The sequence below is a fragment of the Homo sapiens genome, chromosome 2 (genome assembly GCF_000001405.40).
Source record: "Homo sapiens chromosome 2, GRCh38.p14 Primary Assembly".
NCBI classification, from domain to species: Eukaryota; Metazoa; Chordata; class Mammalia; order Primates; family Hominidae; genus Homo; species Homo sapiens.
The window spans coordinates 153,464,675-153,479,788 of record NC_000002.12 but is presented as its reverse complement, the minus strand read 5'-3'; the positions used below and the strand labels follow the sequence as shown (position 1 = coordinate 153,479,788).

The 15,114-nt window shown below is 40.9% G+C and overlaps 2 protein-coding genes across 6 annotated transcripts in view, besides 4 other annotated features; one reads left to right on the top strand and one right to left on the bottom strand.

Annotated features, from left to right (window-relative positions):
• Positions 1-15,114, bottom strand: part of GALNT13 (polypeptide N-acetylgalactosaminyltransferase 13) — a 1,388,282-nt gene that overhangs the window by 976,786 nt on the left and 396,382 nt on the right. For 2 of the 5 annotated variants that reach the window (NM_001422879.1, NM_001422880.1), the window contains exons 1-2: positions 1,827-1,888; positions 1,427-1,515 (exon numbers count right to left, since the gene is read on the bottom strand). The exons of the other annotated variants lie outside the window; for them this stretch is intronic. The gene's annotated coding sequence lies outside the window, so the exon portion shown is untranslated. Of the gene's footprint in view, positions 1-1,426; positions 1,516-1,826; positions 1,889-15,114 lie in introns of those variants that run through there. 5 annotated transcript variants of the gene reach the window in all.
• Positions 793-992: a silencer, noted in NCBI's record as "silent region_12014". NCBI's record gives its function as "represses an Ori minimal core promoter by ATAC-STARR-seq in GM12878 lymphoblastoid cells {active_cell/tissue: GM12878}" and the evidence as "EXISTENCE:reporter gene assay evidence [ECO:0000049][PMID:35858748]".
• On the top strand, positions 1,027-2,451 carry RPRM (reprimo, TP53 dependent G2 arrest mediator homolog). Its single transcript, NM_019845.3, has one exon. The coding sequence runs from the start codon at positions 1,224-1,226 to the stop codon at positions 1,551-1,553; it is 330 nt and encodes a 109-aa protein (NP_062819.1). The 5' UTR covers positions 1,027-1,223; the 3' UTR covers positions 1,554-2,451.
• Positions 1,349-1,852: an enhancer, noted in NCBI's record as "H3K27ac hESC enhancer chr2:154334451-154334954 (GRCh37/hg19 assembly coordinates)". NCBI's record gives its function as "activates a minimal SCP1, AML or CMV promoter by ChIP-STARR-seq in naive H9 embryonic stem cells {active_cell/tissue: H9 hESC(naive)}" and the evidence as "EXISTENCE:reporter gene assay evidence [ECO:0000049][PMID:30033119]".
• Positions 1,853-2,356: an enhancer, noted in NCBI's record as "NANOG-H3K27ac hESC enhancer chr2:154333947-154334450 (GRCh37/hg19 assembly coordinates)". NCBI's record gives its function as "activates a minimal SCP1, AML or CMV promoter by ChIP-STARR-seq in naive H9 embryonic stem cells {active_cell/tissue: H9 hESC(naive)}" and the evidence as "EXISTENCE:reporter gene assay evidence [ECO:0000049][PMID:30033119]".
• Positions 2,357-2,860: an enhancer, noted in NCBI's record as "NANOG-H3K27ac hESC enhancer chr2:154333443-154333946 (GRCh37/hg19 assembly coordinates)". NCBI's record gives its function as "activates a minimal SCP1, AML or CMV promoter by ChIP-STARR-seq in naive and primed H9 embryonic stem cells {active_cell/tissue: H9 hESC(naive and primed)}" and the evidence as "EXISTENCE:reporter gene assay evidence [ECO:0000049][PMID:30033119]".

Genomic DNA, 15,114 nt, shown 5'->3' with positions numbered 1-15,114 from the left:
TCAGGCCTATAAAAACATCTGTGTTTAGTTTAAATGACTAAGGGTGAAATACATCAGCTTATGGAAAATGGGGAGGGCTCCCAGTATTTGGCCAGCGTTCTAGGTGATGGATGTTGATGAGCAATTCCCTTCAACAACTGATTTACTGCCAACGGACAAAATGCTGGAAGCACATCCAAAAACTTATCTGCAATTAAAATTACAAGCAAGTGGTCACTCTGTTCACCTCCTTTACCAGAGAGGTGACCCTGCTCCCGGCAACTACCTCCACCCAAGGGCCACAGAAGAACTCCTCCTTCCTCTAACCCTCTTTCCTTGGCCTCAAACCTCACGGTAAAACCTGCCTTGCTCTGTCTCCCAATCGCTTTTGTAAAGGAAGCTGGGTGTAGAGCTCTTCTTTCTCCCTCCCTTCCTTTTTTCTTTCCTTCCTTCCTTTCTTCCTTCCTTCTTCCATGCCTTTCTGTCTTTCCAAATTCATTGCTTTGTAAGAAACATTCTCAGATCACCTCCACTCCACTAGAAATCCAACGCAGGCGAGTCGGAGTCAAGCACAGGCAGTGGGCGGGTGGCCTCAGCCGGCACCATCTGGCACCTGCGATTCATCGCCACTTTCCATTCGCCCAGAGGTCAGGGGGGCAGCAGGCAAAGGACACGCAGAGCTCGTGTGTCCCAGTTCCTCTGAAACTTTCAGCTGACCGCACCCTCCCCCGACAAACTCTTTAATCATCCATCAAGCTAGAAGAGTACAGTGACCTCTGCCTGGCCTTTGGAGTTTGCAAAAGAAGCAAGCAATAAAAAGCAAGACCAGGTTCGCCCCTTTGCTTCCTCCACCTCCCAAGAGCAGCGCGCAGCGCGGCGGTGCGGCCGGAAGGGGCCGCTGTTTGCTCAGCGCAGCCACCCCGCCGCTGCAGCCGCCGCGGCCCGCACCTCCCACGGCCGGGCTGGTCCAGCCCCGCCAAGTTCCAACAGCCCCCCCTCGAGCGAGCGCCGGGAACGAGCACCACCAGGGCTGGAGCGGACGGCTTTAGAAGAGCCTAGCTGCTGCGCGCGTCGGAGAGGCTCCTGGGAAACTCCCACGGCCCAGGGACTTTCGAAAGCAGAGCGAGGAGCCCTCGCACGCGCTAGTCTGCGAGTGAGCGCTCAGCCCGGCACCTGTTCCTCCAGCGCCGCCGCCTTCCCACCCCTCGGACCCGCGCCGCTCGCGGCGCCCGCCCGTTCCTGCGATGAATCCGGCCCTAGGCAACCAGACGGACGTGGCGGGCCTGTTCCTGGCCAACAGCAGCGAGGCGCTGGAGCGAGCCGTGCGCTGCTGCACCCAGGCGTCCGTGGTGACCGACGACGGCTTCGCGGAGGGAGGCCCGGACGAGCGTAGCCTGTACATAATGCGCGTGGTGCAGATCGCGGTCATGTGCGTGCTCTCACTCACCGTGGTCTTCGGCATCTTCTTCCTCGGCTGCAATCTGCTCATCAAGTCCGAGGGCATGATCAACTTCCTCGTGAAGGACCGGAGGCCGTCTAAGGAGGTGGAGGCGGTGGTCGTGGGGCCCTACTGACCCGCCCTCTGCCCCCGCGGCAACCGCTCCCACGCCTGCCCACTTTGCTAGCCCGGCTGTGCCCCTCACTATCAGAGACTGGGCGAAGCAAACCTGTCGGAGTCAATTATTTCTCTCGACTTCGGCCTTTCGGAAAGAAGCGACCGGTTTCTCCCTCGCCCTCTGAAAGTCCTCATGCCTGGCAGTCGGAGGAGAGCGCCCAGACTCTGAACTCAGCAGAAAGTGGCAAGAAGAGGGCGATTAGGGCGCAGAACTTTGGAAGCTGCTACTTACTTGGAATGCGGGGAGACCGACGGTGCGAAGGCCCTTCTCCACCCGCAGGTGGGCCAAGCTCTGGGGGCAGGTGGAGAGGGCGGGCAGGGGAGAGACCCAGCGGCACTGATCGCCTTGTGACCGGAAGAGTGACCTGTTAAAAGCCACGCAGCAGACTCATGGGGTCTCACAAATCCGTGTCCGGGTGCGCTCCCACTCTTCTCCTGCTCCCCCCCTGCCCTGGAGGGGAGGGGCGATAAATACCTTTGATTGTAACGTGCCGTTTTAAGAGGTTTTGTGTTTGTTTGCTTGAATACAAATGTTTGATAAGTCTTTTTCTGCCCCAGTGGCCTGTTTGCCTGCCTGAGGAGTTACAGTTTTGTCATTGTGGGAGAAGGGGTGGGGGGAGGGGGAGCCTGCGAATTTGAACGGGGTGAGTTGTTTCTTTTAGTGCATTTCCCACTGGGTCTTTTGGGAGGCGTCTAGCGTTCCTGCTGGCCCTGGGACAAAGACCCAGAATAGAACTCGTAGCTCGTGACTGCACGGTTTACGCCACAAAAGTGCTCTTGACATCCGTGACACCGTTTTGACTTTTTGTTTTTTTCTTATTTAACATTTCCTTAATAAATGCAACATTTAAGCGTTTTGTTCCTGGCCTCCTGGTGGTCATTCTGCGCTCCCCAGCAGGGGGGAACGGGGCGGCGGTGAGGAGTCTGGCTCCCGGCCAGGGCAATTAACCCTGGAGAGCTGCGATTCAACTTGTGGATCCCCTGGAGGGGCGAGGGTGGGGCCAGACGGAGAGGCCCTGGGATGACTGAGAAGGAGCCCAGCCTCAGGCACAGTAGCCGTCCTGGAGGCAGCATCCTTTGTTTCCTCTTATCGTGAATATTTTATATTTCATTTAGTCTCAGCTCTCAGGTAGGCGAGACGACAGAAGGGCCCCCGCGGGAAGATTACACTTCCGTGCCAGGCTCCGGCGGGAACACAGGATTACACCGCTAATGAAAGGAAGAGACGGCTTGGACAGCCTTTAGGGAGGGCGTCTCTACCCTAACCAACGTCAGCCAGGCGGCTTTGGGATGCTGCCCACGGGTGGGGCCGGGGGGCGGAGGGAAGGGGAATTATAAAATGCGAGGAAAAGTAGCTGCTAAGGTACACAGTGACGTTAGTGACGTTAATGCTCCCTAGGGTAAACCATTGTTACTAAAACATGAGATGCATTACTGTCGTTGTGATATTACTTTTTCTAGCAAAAAGACCACGTTAAAAGATTCAGCCTGTTCTTTGTAATTTAGTATGCCCCAGACCAGGCAAAGGGTTGAGAGGAGTTAGCCGAGGTCCTGAATGTGGGAGATGAGTATTACAACCCCAACTGGGAAGGATATTTGGAGTAGAACTACAGATGGCCGTTGACACATTTAAGGTTCAGAAATTCAACAGTGTTAGAAAGAAACGCCTAAAAACCGTGCCTGTGAAAATAACCCAAAGGATACAATAGCTTCGAGCATAAACTTGACAAAAGGTTTTGAGCAGTTTATTTTTATGCCTGAGACAGGATCCTAAATATTTTCAAGACTATAAAGAATCCACTAGGATGCTATATAGCAATTAAAATTTCAAAGACTTCACAATGGCAGCTATAAGAGTAACTAAAATCAAATAATAATAAAGTGTTCCATTTACTCAGAAAGAAGCACAACTGGTGTAAACAATGTTAACGACTCAAAGATTGGGATCAAAAGTTTTGAGTGCCTTTAATGTCATATCCACTATTAAGTGTCCATTTCGCTCTCAAGTAAACCTTGTTAGAAATCACAACCTAGGATGGTTTTTTGAATTCTAATGGATATCAGGATTGAGAAAAGAGGATTTTGAAGTTTTGCTTGTTGTTCCTGTCTTTTAAACAGGTAAGGGTTTGTTTGCTTGTTTGTTGTTTTGGTATCTGGGCAGGGGGCAGGGTCAAGAGATAGTCAATAGGTAGTCAGTAGGAGTCTTGGAAAGCAATCTACTTTTGCTAACCGACAGGACAAGAAATGGCAATGTTCTATTTTATAGACAGTTTCTGTGGCACCGAGTTAATCTGCTGCCTGCATGTTTCAAAGGGAGACACAAAGCAGAGCAATGGATTCTCTGGGACAAACCAGACACTTAAAATTTAACTCACGCTGTGGCTGCAACATCCTCTGAGGGTCCCTTCTTCTGGAAGATTTATTAGCTCACCTGTGAATCCAGTACTCTGGTAGAATTCGATTTGGGATAAAAAAACAAATCAGCTAGAGTGTAGAAATCTTGCATTTTACTCTGCTGTGTACGGGCACATGCTTAGAGTTTCAGACACGCGGAGGCTGAAGGAGGGGTCAAACCTACAGGTCAATTTTAAATTGTATAGAACACAGGTTTTCATTTAAAACAAAAGTCCTGAAAGTCCTGAAAGTTGAGAGAGGAGCCAAGGTTGAAGACCTCTATCTTCTCTATCTTGTTCCTCTTAGTATTTCTTCACATCTCTTTCCTCTTCCCTGCATCTCAAAAGCAAAATGCAGTTTCTCTTTATCTCAACTATCCACATTTATTCTCTCACCCCCAGAAATTGTGCATGAAACAAGCCAAAACCTGCAAAATGTAGTCCTTAGATACAAAAGGTATGTGAACACAGCTTTGTAATCTATGATCTATGCACTACAGGGAAATGCACAGTCTGCAATGCACATAGCCCTGGAGACTACTTCCTGCCAACAACACTTCTCTCCAGCCCTTAGATCCATTTGTTACTTAGAGAGATGCCAAGTAGTTCTGGTTTTTATAGATGAGGCAATGTGTGCAAGAAGCTTTTTACACTCTCTATTCCCCGATGGCCACAGAGCAACCACTTTCTGGGGCCACACCACTCCCTCTTTCACTCTGCCTTTGACTCTCTTTGTCCCTCATTCTAACAACTGCTTTAAATGAAACATTTTAATCCTGCTCAGAATTTATGGAGTGTCGGTCCTTTCCCAGAGACATTCTCTAAGAAAAAAAGGTTTTGAAAGCCATTGTCTGTGTTTCACCTAAGAAAACAATGTCAGCCTTAAGAGACCAGAAGTTTAGATACATAAATTTAACAGGCAGGTTCTACCATGCCACACTGAAGTCCACCATTTGGTCAGTAATTAGTGGGAGTCCCTGAGAGACAGAGACAGATTCCTCTAAAAGCTTGCTTGATCTGACATGGCCCAGGGGGACTTATCTGATATTTCCTGAAGCCCTTCTGGAAATACAGCAAATGCAGGGAGAAGTTTTCATGAAACACAGCTGGTGGATTAGTGGGATCTCAGGCTGGGCAGACAGCTAGTGATACCTCTTAGCTTAATTGGGTGGCCTCTGTATAAGTAGCTTAACCAATTGTTGATAAGTGTTCTTAAGATTGTTGATACGAATCTCCCCACTCTCTCTGAAAATGTAGCAAGAGCTTGAGTGCTGGACAGCTTTAAGGAAGTGAAAGCAGAGGTCACACTACTCTGTCAAGTCTGAGATCACACTAGTTCCTGGTAGATGGTCCATGATTTCTGATTTCCAAGCCATCCTGGCTTCTCACTGGATGCAAGTCAATCCTGCTACTGTGTCTTCCTATACTAACTCTGAATTAGGAAGGGAAAGACACACTGGGCTGAGATTTTAGAAATTTTGGTTCTGGTCACTAAGCAGCTGAATGGCCTGATCCCTAAAATAAGGAAGAGGGGTTCTAAAGAACCTTCCAATTCTATGATTCCATTGAATTAATTGGTTTAACGTGTTCTCTCTTAAGATGTTTCATAAATCTCTTAATTATGTGTCTTAAAAATATATTTTATCTTTCCAGTCTTGATCTTTTGTGTAGATGTTTTTCTCACAAAAGACAAGTGCTCCTCTACTGGAAATAAGTTATTTACAATAATCAAAGCAAAATTTCAGACACCTAGCCAGGCCAGAGTAGATGACAGTTTTTAACCTGATCGATTACGCATGATCTCACCAGCACCTTAAATTTCCAGGTCTCTGCGTTCTCAAAGGACAAAGCCATGAAAGTAAAGCCCATTGTACTGGGGAGTAAGCAATTCTTCTAGGTACGCATTCAGACTAATATGCACTGTTGTTTATAGAAACTACTAGGGTGTTTGAAGACTCTTTAACATCCACTTTTTCTCCCTAAAGCATTTTTCCTTTTGAGTTTCTGCAACAGCACACAGCACCTGTTCCACATGCAGTTTAGAGCCTTCCTTAACCCTGGCTTATTTTACTTCTCACTTTGGGGGTTACAATGACAGGAAAGATTCCAGGGTTCGGTTTGTTCTGTAAGACTCAAACCTAATTTGAAAGCCTGTGGAAGCAGCAAGTCTGCAGCAATCCTCCAAACAGGAATCAACAAATATTTTTTCTACCTGTCAAATCCCATGTAGACCTATGCACAATAGCTCAAATGGGATATGTTTTAAAAGCAGCTGCCTCAGTAGTAATTGTTTCCTAATGTCTGAATTTAAATGCTCAATAGTAAGTTGTTTCCATGGCCAATCTCACTTTGTTCTCATTTCCTGATATTTTTGTGTTGTTTTAAATGTTTAAAAGACTTGAAAGTCCAGGATTAACTTTCAGAAAAATTAATTATATAATATTATTATCAGTCATGTATCATTTATGGTGATCATAGTAACATACTTTGAATTTATATGTATACATCTTATTTTTTGATTATTATTATATTTGAGAAGCTTAAAATACTCCAGACAGAGCTCCTCTAAGGACTGTTGTAAGGATAACTACATGTATTTTTCCTTTTTTTTGTTATTATACTTTTAAGTTTTGGGGTACATGTGCAGAACATGTAGGTTTATTACATAGGTATACACGTACTGCCATGGTGGTTTGCTGCACCCATCGGTCCGTCATCTACATTAGGTATTTCTCCTAATGCTATCCCTCCCCTAGCCCCCCACCCGCCGACAAGCCCTGGTGTGTGATGTTCCCCTCCCTATGTCCATATATTCTCATTGTTCAACTCCCACTTATGAGTGAGAACATGTGCTATTTGGTTTTCTGTTCCTGTGTTAGTTTGCTGAGAATGATGGTTTCCAGCTTCATCCATGTTCCTGCATGTATTTTTAAATATTCCTCAGTCACATTGCAAACAGTGGCTTGCATCTAACCTAAATAACAATATACACTAAATGAGAATAAACAAAGCTTATTTTCATTTGTTTAACTATTTATGTATATTTTGAAGGGATAATGGATAGTTTTATTTTCTAAATATATTTAAGGGCATGCTTGCTGAAGTATTCTTGAGTGGGTAAATGCAGGTATAGAATGATCAATACTAAAAAGGTCAAGTGATCTGCAATAATGCTGGAAGAAATCCTGCCCTGCCTAATCCCATTTTAAAACTGGTTTCCATTAGATAGTAATATTTTATGACCTCATAATTCAAAGAGTTATATAGTGTTTCTCAAGCACTCATGTATAGATGGTACATTACTACTTATTACTGGAAAAAATGACATGATTCCTTTCCATTTGAACCACAAAACACTGGCACAGACAAACACATGTAAGGGAAGGTATATACTCTACCCACAAGAGTAAGATAAGAAATTGTTCCTATTATTTCTAGAATTCATAGTAATATAAATATACACACATAATTATGCCATAGCCTACATGTTGGTATTTTTTATTACAGAGAGAGAAGGTTATAGTTTTTTTAGTTTTTTAAATATTTGCTTTGTACCCTCACCAATTCCTCTTTCATTATGCACTCCTTCCCACACCCACATCTAAAGATATACTGCCCTGAAAGAGTCATTGATTTTTATCAGACCAAGACTCCAGATGTCTGATTGCTTTGGAAAAAGAATCCCTCTGGGATCCAGAGTGTCTCTTTTGCTTTATTTATTTTCCTATAAATTGAGCAGGATCATGTAGTTCATATTCTACGTAGTATTGATTAAGGCAGATGCATGCGCACATATTCTCATACTCAGTGTTTCCTTTACTGTATACTCATGAAACATGTTTATTCTACTACAGACTAGAAATGAGCATTGCCCATTCCACATTCCCCAATTCTTTGTTTTACATTATTTATTTGTTTACAATAAAACAATGCATAGGAAATGTTGCAAGTAAATTGTCTCAAAATGTCCAGTAAATAAGATTTATTTGAAGTGTCTGGAGTCTTACAATACATCTGTATCTTGAGATATATGCTTTAATCTTAATCTAAGAATCATAAAGGAAAGAAGCTGAAACCCTAAGAGACAGAAAAGTCAAAGATTATGTATTGCATAGGCTTGAAAATCTTTAAAAGCTAAGTTAAGAGAAATGAGCTGGGACCCTAAATTTGAAGAAGGTCAATGAAAACGAAAAGAACCTATCAAGTAAAATCTCTAGAAATTTACAGGCAGATTCTAAATTCTCAAAATGGTGGCTAGAAACGTTTACATTTAGAGGGCTTAATAAAAGGATCAAAGACTGCTGAGAGGGAGGACTAAACATTGTGAGAATGTGGAAGGTTGTAAATTCCTTCTCTATTTCTCTTCTCTGTGGAGTCTTGGAATGATTGCAAACATCCTGTCCGCTGGCTGAGTTTTCTTATATCCAAAGGAGAAAGAGGCCTTGCCAGGCCTTCTTATCTTTATCATCAATAAATATTTATTATTTAGTATCTATTATAGTCATGACTCTGCACTAGGTACTAACTTAGACCTTGGAAGTTTGGTGCAAAGAATCATGGAATTTAAAGGGGCCTTCTGTGCTAATATCCTATCTTCTGCTAATCTGTTTGCACATGTCCTTCGGGATCTATCTGCGTGAGCCACACACTCTCCTGGTTTCTCCCCTTGAAAATGAAGTACTCTCCACCCTTCTCTATAATTAGCATGGGGCCTGAAATACTCAAACAATTTAATTTGACTTTTCCCCATGTCTTCAGGTAGCATACGCAAAGCTGGCTCCACTTTACATATTCAAACTCAAGATGAACATGAATATGGAAGGCCTGAAGAAAGTGCTCCAAATGAATATCTCGAGGCTACTTATAATTTTCTACAAATTCAGCTCAGGAACAAGTGTTTTATTCATTTCCCCCACTGTGAATTTTCAAGGACTGAATAATTAAGAAGATCAAGAGTAAAATTTCCTCCCCTACATTCCATAGATGAGCTTTCTAAGGAAATGATACATTCTTCTTTTAAGTAACATTAATGTCTCCTAATATCATCAAAGTTCAAGCTAGAATGGACTTTATTAATTAAGAATCTTTGGGTTACAATCAACAAAAATCTAGCTTAAGCTAATTTTAAATTAAAAACAATTTATTGATTCATGTAACTTGTAAGTTCCAGGATACAGGTGCATCACGCATGAAAGAAGCTGATATCTAGTGTCACTCAGACTTTCTCCATCTCTCAGAAAATCTCTCTCCACATGGTAAGAAAAGAAAAATACATGGATGCCCCTGGGCCCACACTCATATCTCATCAACTTAATAACCCCAGCAGAAAGAGATTTTTTTCCTGGGAGAACTCTGGCCCAGTTGGCATCTTGTGTCAATTGCTGAACAAACCGCTGTGACTGGGTGGCTGCAGGAAGAAGGGTGTACTCAGTCAATGACCAGTGACACCCTTCTGGTGAGAGGAGAGAGAACATGGGGGAGGAGAGTTGGTTCTATTCAAACCAATCTTCTGTAGCTCCTGTGAGGATACAAGGCCATGCATCCTCATAGGAGAAGGAATTCTAGTATCAAAAAAAGCAAGAGGGCTGCTGGAGGACCTATAACAATGGTCACCTAGCTCAATGGATCCAAAGCCTAGAGACAGTATGTTATTTCCTACGGTTCCACACAGCTAGTCAATGGTGGAGCTGGTTAAGGGGATCTATGTCTTCTGACTCTTAATATTTCTTTTAAAGCTATTTATTCTATCAACTATTTCAGCAAGGATGAGAAAAGAAAAAAGACTTTTATAATTTTTTTCAAGGTTCTCTGTGTTGAGTTGATGTAGCTCCAAGTGCCCTGGACAATAGCTCTGAATTTCTGGGGCAGGTATTGCCACCACCTTGCACCTGGGCATTTGGATCAGTCATTTGACATCTCTCTTTGCTCATGAGAATAAAATCATCTGCCTTCCCTGGACCTAGCTAAGTTTAAATATTGATTTTATATGAAATGGTAAATTTTATGTTAAAAAGTTAAGCTCTGTGACTCTCCATGAGATGGATAAAATACTCAGCATTACCCAAACTGATTTAACAAACTTATTTTGATGGAGCCTCTCTCATGACCCATCTTGCTTGGAAATGCTGCCCGGTAAGCACATGAAATACTTTATTTACTTTTCTTGGAAACATTCCTAATTCTGTTTTTAAATTGCTCCTCATATCCTAACCCAGAGAGTTGGCTTAGCTTTCTCATGCGCATGGAAATTGAACCGTCATTGTTCATTTCTTTGGGTTTGCAGCTGCTTTGCCTGTTCCACACTTCTGATGAGGAAAATTACCTTCCTAACTGTGACTGTCTGCTTTGCAAGTATCATCTCCCGCTCTGAGACTTGCATTAGTGGACTTCTTGATTCTTATTAACAGGTGAGGGGATGGGGTTGCTGATAGTGTGGTTGGAAGAGAAAATTTCTCAACCATAAAGACTGGTGTGTAGGAGTTTGTTTCTCATGCAGCTCATCACCACAGGCAAACTCATCTCCTCTACAAATTTCCAGCTGTGAGACCTGAATCTGAGGCTGGAGGCACAGTGTTCTCAGTAAAGCATCTCTGTGTTTGCAACATACTTAATGGCCTCTAAGGCACACTTGTACACATATAAAAGAGCACTCTCATTTTTAGACAATATATCCTCTTTTTCTTGGCATGATGGTCCTCCTATATTTGGACAGTTTCTTTTTCAGGAATAACTTTACGAAAACAAATAACTTCCAATGGTTAATAATATAAGCCATTCTCCTCTAGACATGATTTACTTTGTGAATAATTCTTGATTGCTTTATACCCAATAGCTAATTATCCAGTTATTACTCAGCGATAGTTTTTCCATACCACTAATTTCCTCAGTCAGTGTTTGGTAGTCTCAAGATTGGACCACTGTGGCAAAATTCTTTTCACAGTGATTTATAACATTGTGTTCTTACTACGACCCAGTACACCGTGTGCTACCCTAGTGTATTTGAGGAGAGGTCTCCAAGCCTACTTGGATTTTCTTTTTAAAAAGTAAATATTTAAGATTTTTGATATTTTCTCAATGAATAATGATTTATTTCAAAATGTTCTTTAAAATTCTCTAATATTTAGAATGTTTATAAGTAGAAAATTTTAGAGATGCCAAAGCAAAAACTCTGGTAAATATCAGATGTATTATTTAAACAATAACAATACATAAAGAACCAAATTATAATACTGAAAACTTGAAAATTGAAAAGTATTCTCCATTTCAAAGGAGAATGTGATGAAAGATTCGTTTACATTTTCTGTAAACATTTACTTCCAAATTAAAGTAAATTCGTATCTGTATGTTATATGAGATGGTGTGCCTCAGTAGTGGTGTATAGAGACTAAATTTGACTGAATTCTTTGCATTTGGTCAATGTACTTTAATTCTCCAAAATCATACTTCCATTCTACAACGCAAACAAAGACTTCACGGACTATTGAGATAAAGAGCCATTCAAAGGATGAACCTTGGCAATTTAATGTTGAGTTCCATTTCATGCTTAATGTGCTGTGTAGAGAAAGAAAGAAAATGTAACAGTGTTCCATGATTCAATGATTTTTGAGATAAGAATATTTTCAATTTATGATTCCATGGTTCAGAAAGAGTGCGTAGACGCTGAAAGAGTGCAGTGAGACACATTTTATGACCACCAAGAGCATTGTCTTCTTAGAGTCTAGGTTACCTGGCATGTAACAGTCACTTAATAAAGATTGAGTGAAGTTACAGAGTTTTAATACTCCTGCGTTTCATTGAAATTATATGCTGGAATATTAGACTATTCTATAAACTCTTCTGACTTTCTTCTATCCTGTTTTCAATTAATAAATGAAAAGTTTGTATGTTAAGATCTTACTCCCACACTGATTCCAAAGCATGAAATCACCATATGATATGGTCTTATTTTCTAATTCTCCTCTCACTGTTTTCTTCTAATCGGATTGTATTGTTGACATGGATAATTTTCAAATTCTGTTCATGGAAACTTGGTCAGCATCAAATAAATTCTTGTTGATACTTATCATCATCCATTTAGATAAGTGTTTGACTGCAGTTACTGCTAGTATTAATCATATTTGGTATTTTATGGATGTTAGTTCAAAGTTTTCAGAGTGATGTAATTCTAGAAGTTACATCATCGCATTCCCATGAAAAAGAAAATGGAGGGAATGAGGGGCTAGTAATTTTTCCAAGGTCATACAGGTAAAATGTTCTTATGCTAATCTAGATTAAAGATGTAAATCTAGATCTGAGAATATTACAAACAGCATTTTCCTCTCTGCCATTCTGCTAATTCTTTTGGTGAAGGATGGACAGTAAGGACAGTTTCAACTTTCTCACACACATGGTGCTTTGTCATTAACAACTTGGATCCACCCGTACAGCTTTGGGTAATGATTTCACATAGGGGATACGCAGAAAAATTGATCATTTTGGTAGATCTAGAGTCTGCTAGTAGCAAATGGCTCTAAGAGGTGGGGATGTAGATTTTAGGAGGAAATTCAAAATGAGCCTCAACTTGTCCAATTATATAGCCCCTTACTTGGAAATGTATACAGGTTAAAACATATATATTTTCTCTTTGGACTCTAATTATAAAGGTCTCTAATGTTCACATATATCATGTTGCTTAAATCATTTTCATTAAACTCCACCAATAGTATAATTTTGACTAAAATGTTTTATTCGAATATGTTGGAGCTTATTTCATGATATCAATGAACATGCCTCATAGTTAAAAGACTTTTTTGTGGACTACCTGTGCTTGCAAAGTTATATTTTTTTATTGAGCACTTATTATAAATTTCCCCTATTCTGAGCACTTTCCATGTGCTGGATCACACACATGGGAATGAGGTAGTCTCCATTCCCATTGCTGAGGAAATTGGAGTGCAGAGGGATAATATGTTTATTGACCACATTTAGATACAAAAAGACTCTGGGAGACCTGAGTATTGGTCTGATTTTAATATGCTAAAACTTAACCCAGAAAAATACAAGGTCCTGTATTTGAGTCTAAAACAACTGCCCAAGTACAGAATGAGAAAAATGTGTCTTATCAACAGACTACAAATATAAAAGATGCAGAAGTTTTGCTGAAGAAGAAGCTCTAGAAAAGTCAATGGAATTTTGAGGATGCCAAAAATAGTGAACTTAATCTGCACCAAGGGAGGCACTGAACCTCATTAGAGGAAAGCAAGGATCCAGCTCCCCTCTGTTTTTGGATTATTACAATCTTAGAATGGGTTCTGGGCCTAATACTGCATTTTTACAAACTTGTAAACAAACTCAGATATATTAAAAAAAAAACAACTAGAAAGCAAGGATTCCAACACTATGTTAGATTAAAAATGATCAAAAGAGTTGGCAGTATTTACCACTGAGGAAAACAATAAATAAGGCCTCAGGGATAATATGATAGCTGTCCACCAATATCTGAGGAACTGACACAGTCAGGGGGGATTACATTTATTTAGTACAACCCGAAGTAGTAAAACTGGCAAGAGTGAGTAGAAGCAGCTATAAACAGAGGATTCAAGTCTTAACAAGCAAGATCTTTCTAATGGTTGGAGCTTTACAAATATGAAATGAAGTGCTTTGAGAGAGAATAAATTCTCTGATACTGGATGACCATGCAGAAGAGATATTGCAACAGAGATACAAAAATTAGATGGATGGTTAGACTGGATCTTTGAGTTTCAATCCTGTGATTTTTGTTTTAATTCTAGGCTCTTCCTTTTGAACAAGAAAGAACGGGCACCGGGCAGGTGGCTATGCTGTCTGATCTAAACAAGCAGCAGCCTGCTCAGGGTCTTTGGAGAAAGCCCACCCTGAGTTAGGAGATTTTGGCCGTTACTGAAGTAGCAAGACCTGTAGACTTTCTCACTCACATGTGACTTTTTCTTACATCTTCCTTATTGTGCAAAAATCATCTTTTGTTTCACCTTTGCCATATATATCATAAATTTCTGATCTCACTTTGAAACAGGCCATTCCTAATTGATTTGTCCAGAAGTTACACTCAAAATGGCTTTGCGATTATTTAACTGAAGCAGGTGCAGACATAGCCTCTCAGCTTTCTATAAATTCAAAGACTAGTCCTTACATTAAGCTCCCTACCTCTAAAGGAAAATTAAACTGGCTCAGAGGCACCTATTTATCCAAAACAAAAGGATCCTTGAGGTACAGACTCATGGATTTAACAGGATTTTGTTTCCTTACTATATGAGTAAAAGGTGATAATGGATAAATCATTCTTTCTAATCTGGCACAAGATGTAGTCCCAGCCACACTAGATAATCAAATGAAAGAAACATTTTATTGTTATTTGGGAAGAAAACTTAATACCTTTATATCACAAGGCTTGAGAACAAACACAGAATCCAAGTCTGTAATTTTAGCATTCTATTTCAGAATCTGCACAGAACTGCAAAGAACACAGACCATGCTCTGAAGGATATGAGGTTCTTGCTACTGTGCTCTTGAAACTCCAAAATCTCTTTCAACAATACTGTAGTTGCATACTGTGTCATACCTCCAAAGAAAAATAGTTAGAAAAAAATTTCCAACAAGAGTAATGTTTCAGGCTAGACTCCTCTCCAGGTGGTAGAGGCATTCTTAGTAGACACAGACATGTGGAGACATGAAGATCACCTTTCTGAATGCTGATTGATCCTGTTCATCAAATTGGAAACAGAGGAGGTAATAGACTTCACCACTGTGGAGGAGACCACTTATTAATTTTGAATCAAAATCAGTACTGTTAGAATTCATACTACTGTGTTGCCTATGTCTAATCCCTGGCATAAGAACTTTAGATATGCATCTTCCAGTATGTAACTATCTACTTCTTGTATAGTTTATATTATTCTTCGTACATCACCTGCTTTTTATTATTTTTTATTTCAATAAAGAAAATGTTACACTTGCATTGGTTAAATATCTTAATGATATATTTTATATTTCATAATACAACAAGACCATGGAATCCTAAGACCCGAGTTGTCTGTTTCTAGGTGATATCACCCTTAAACATAACTTATTATCAAAAATGTTCTGACCTAATTTTACAACATGGTGTGACCT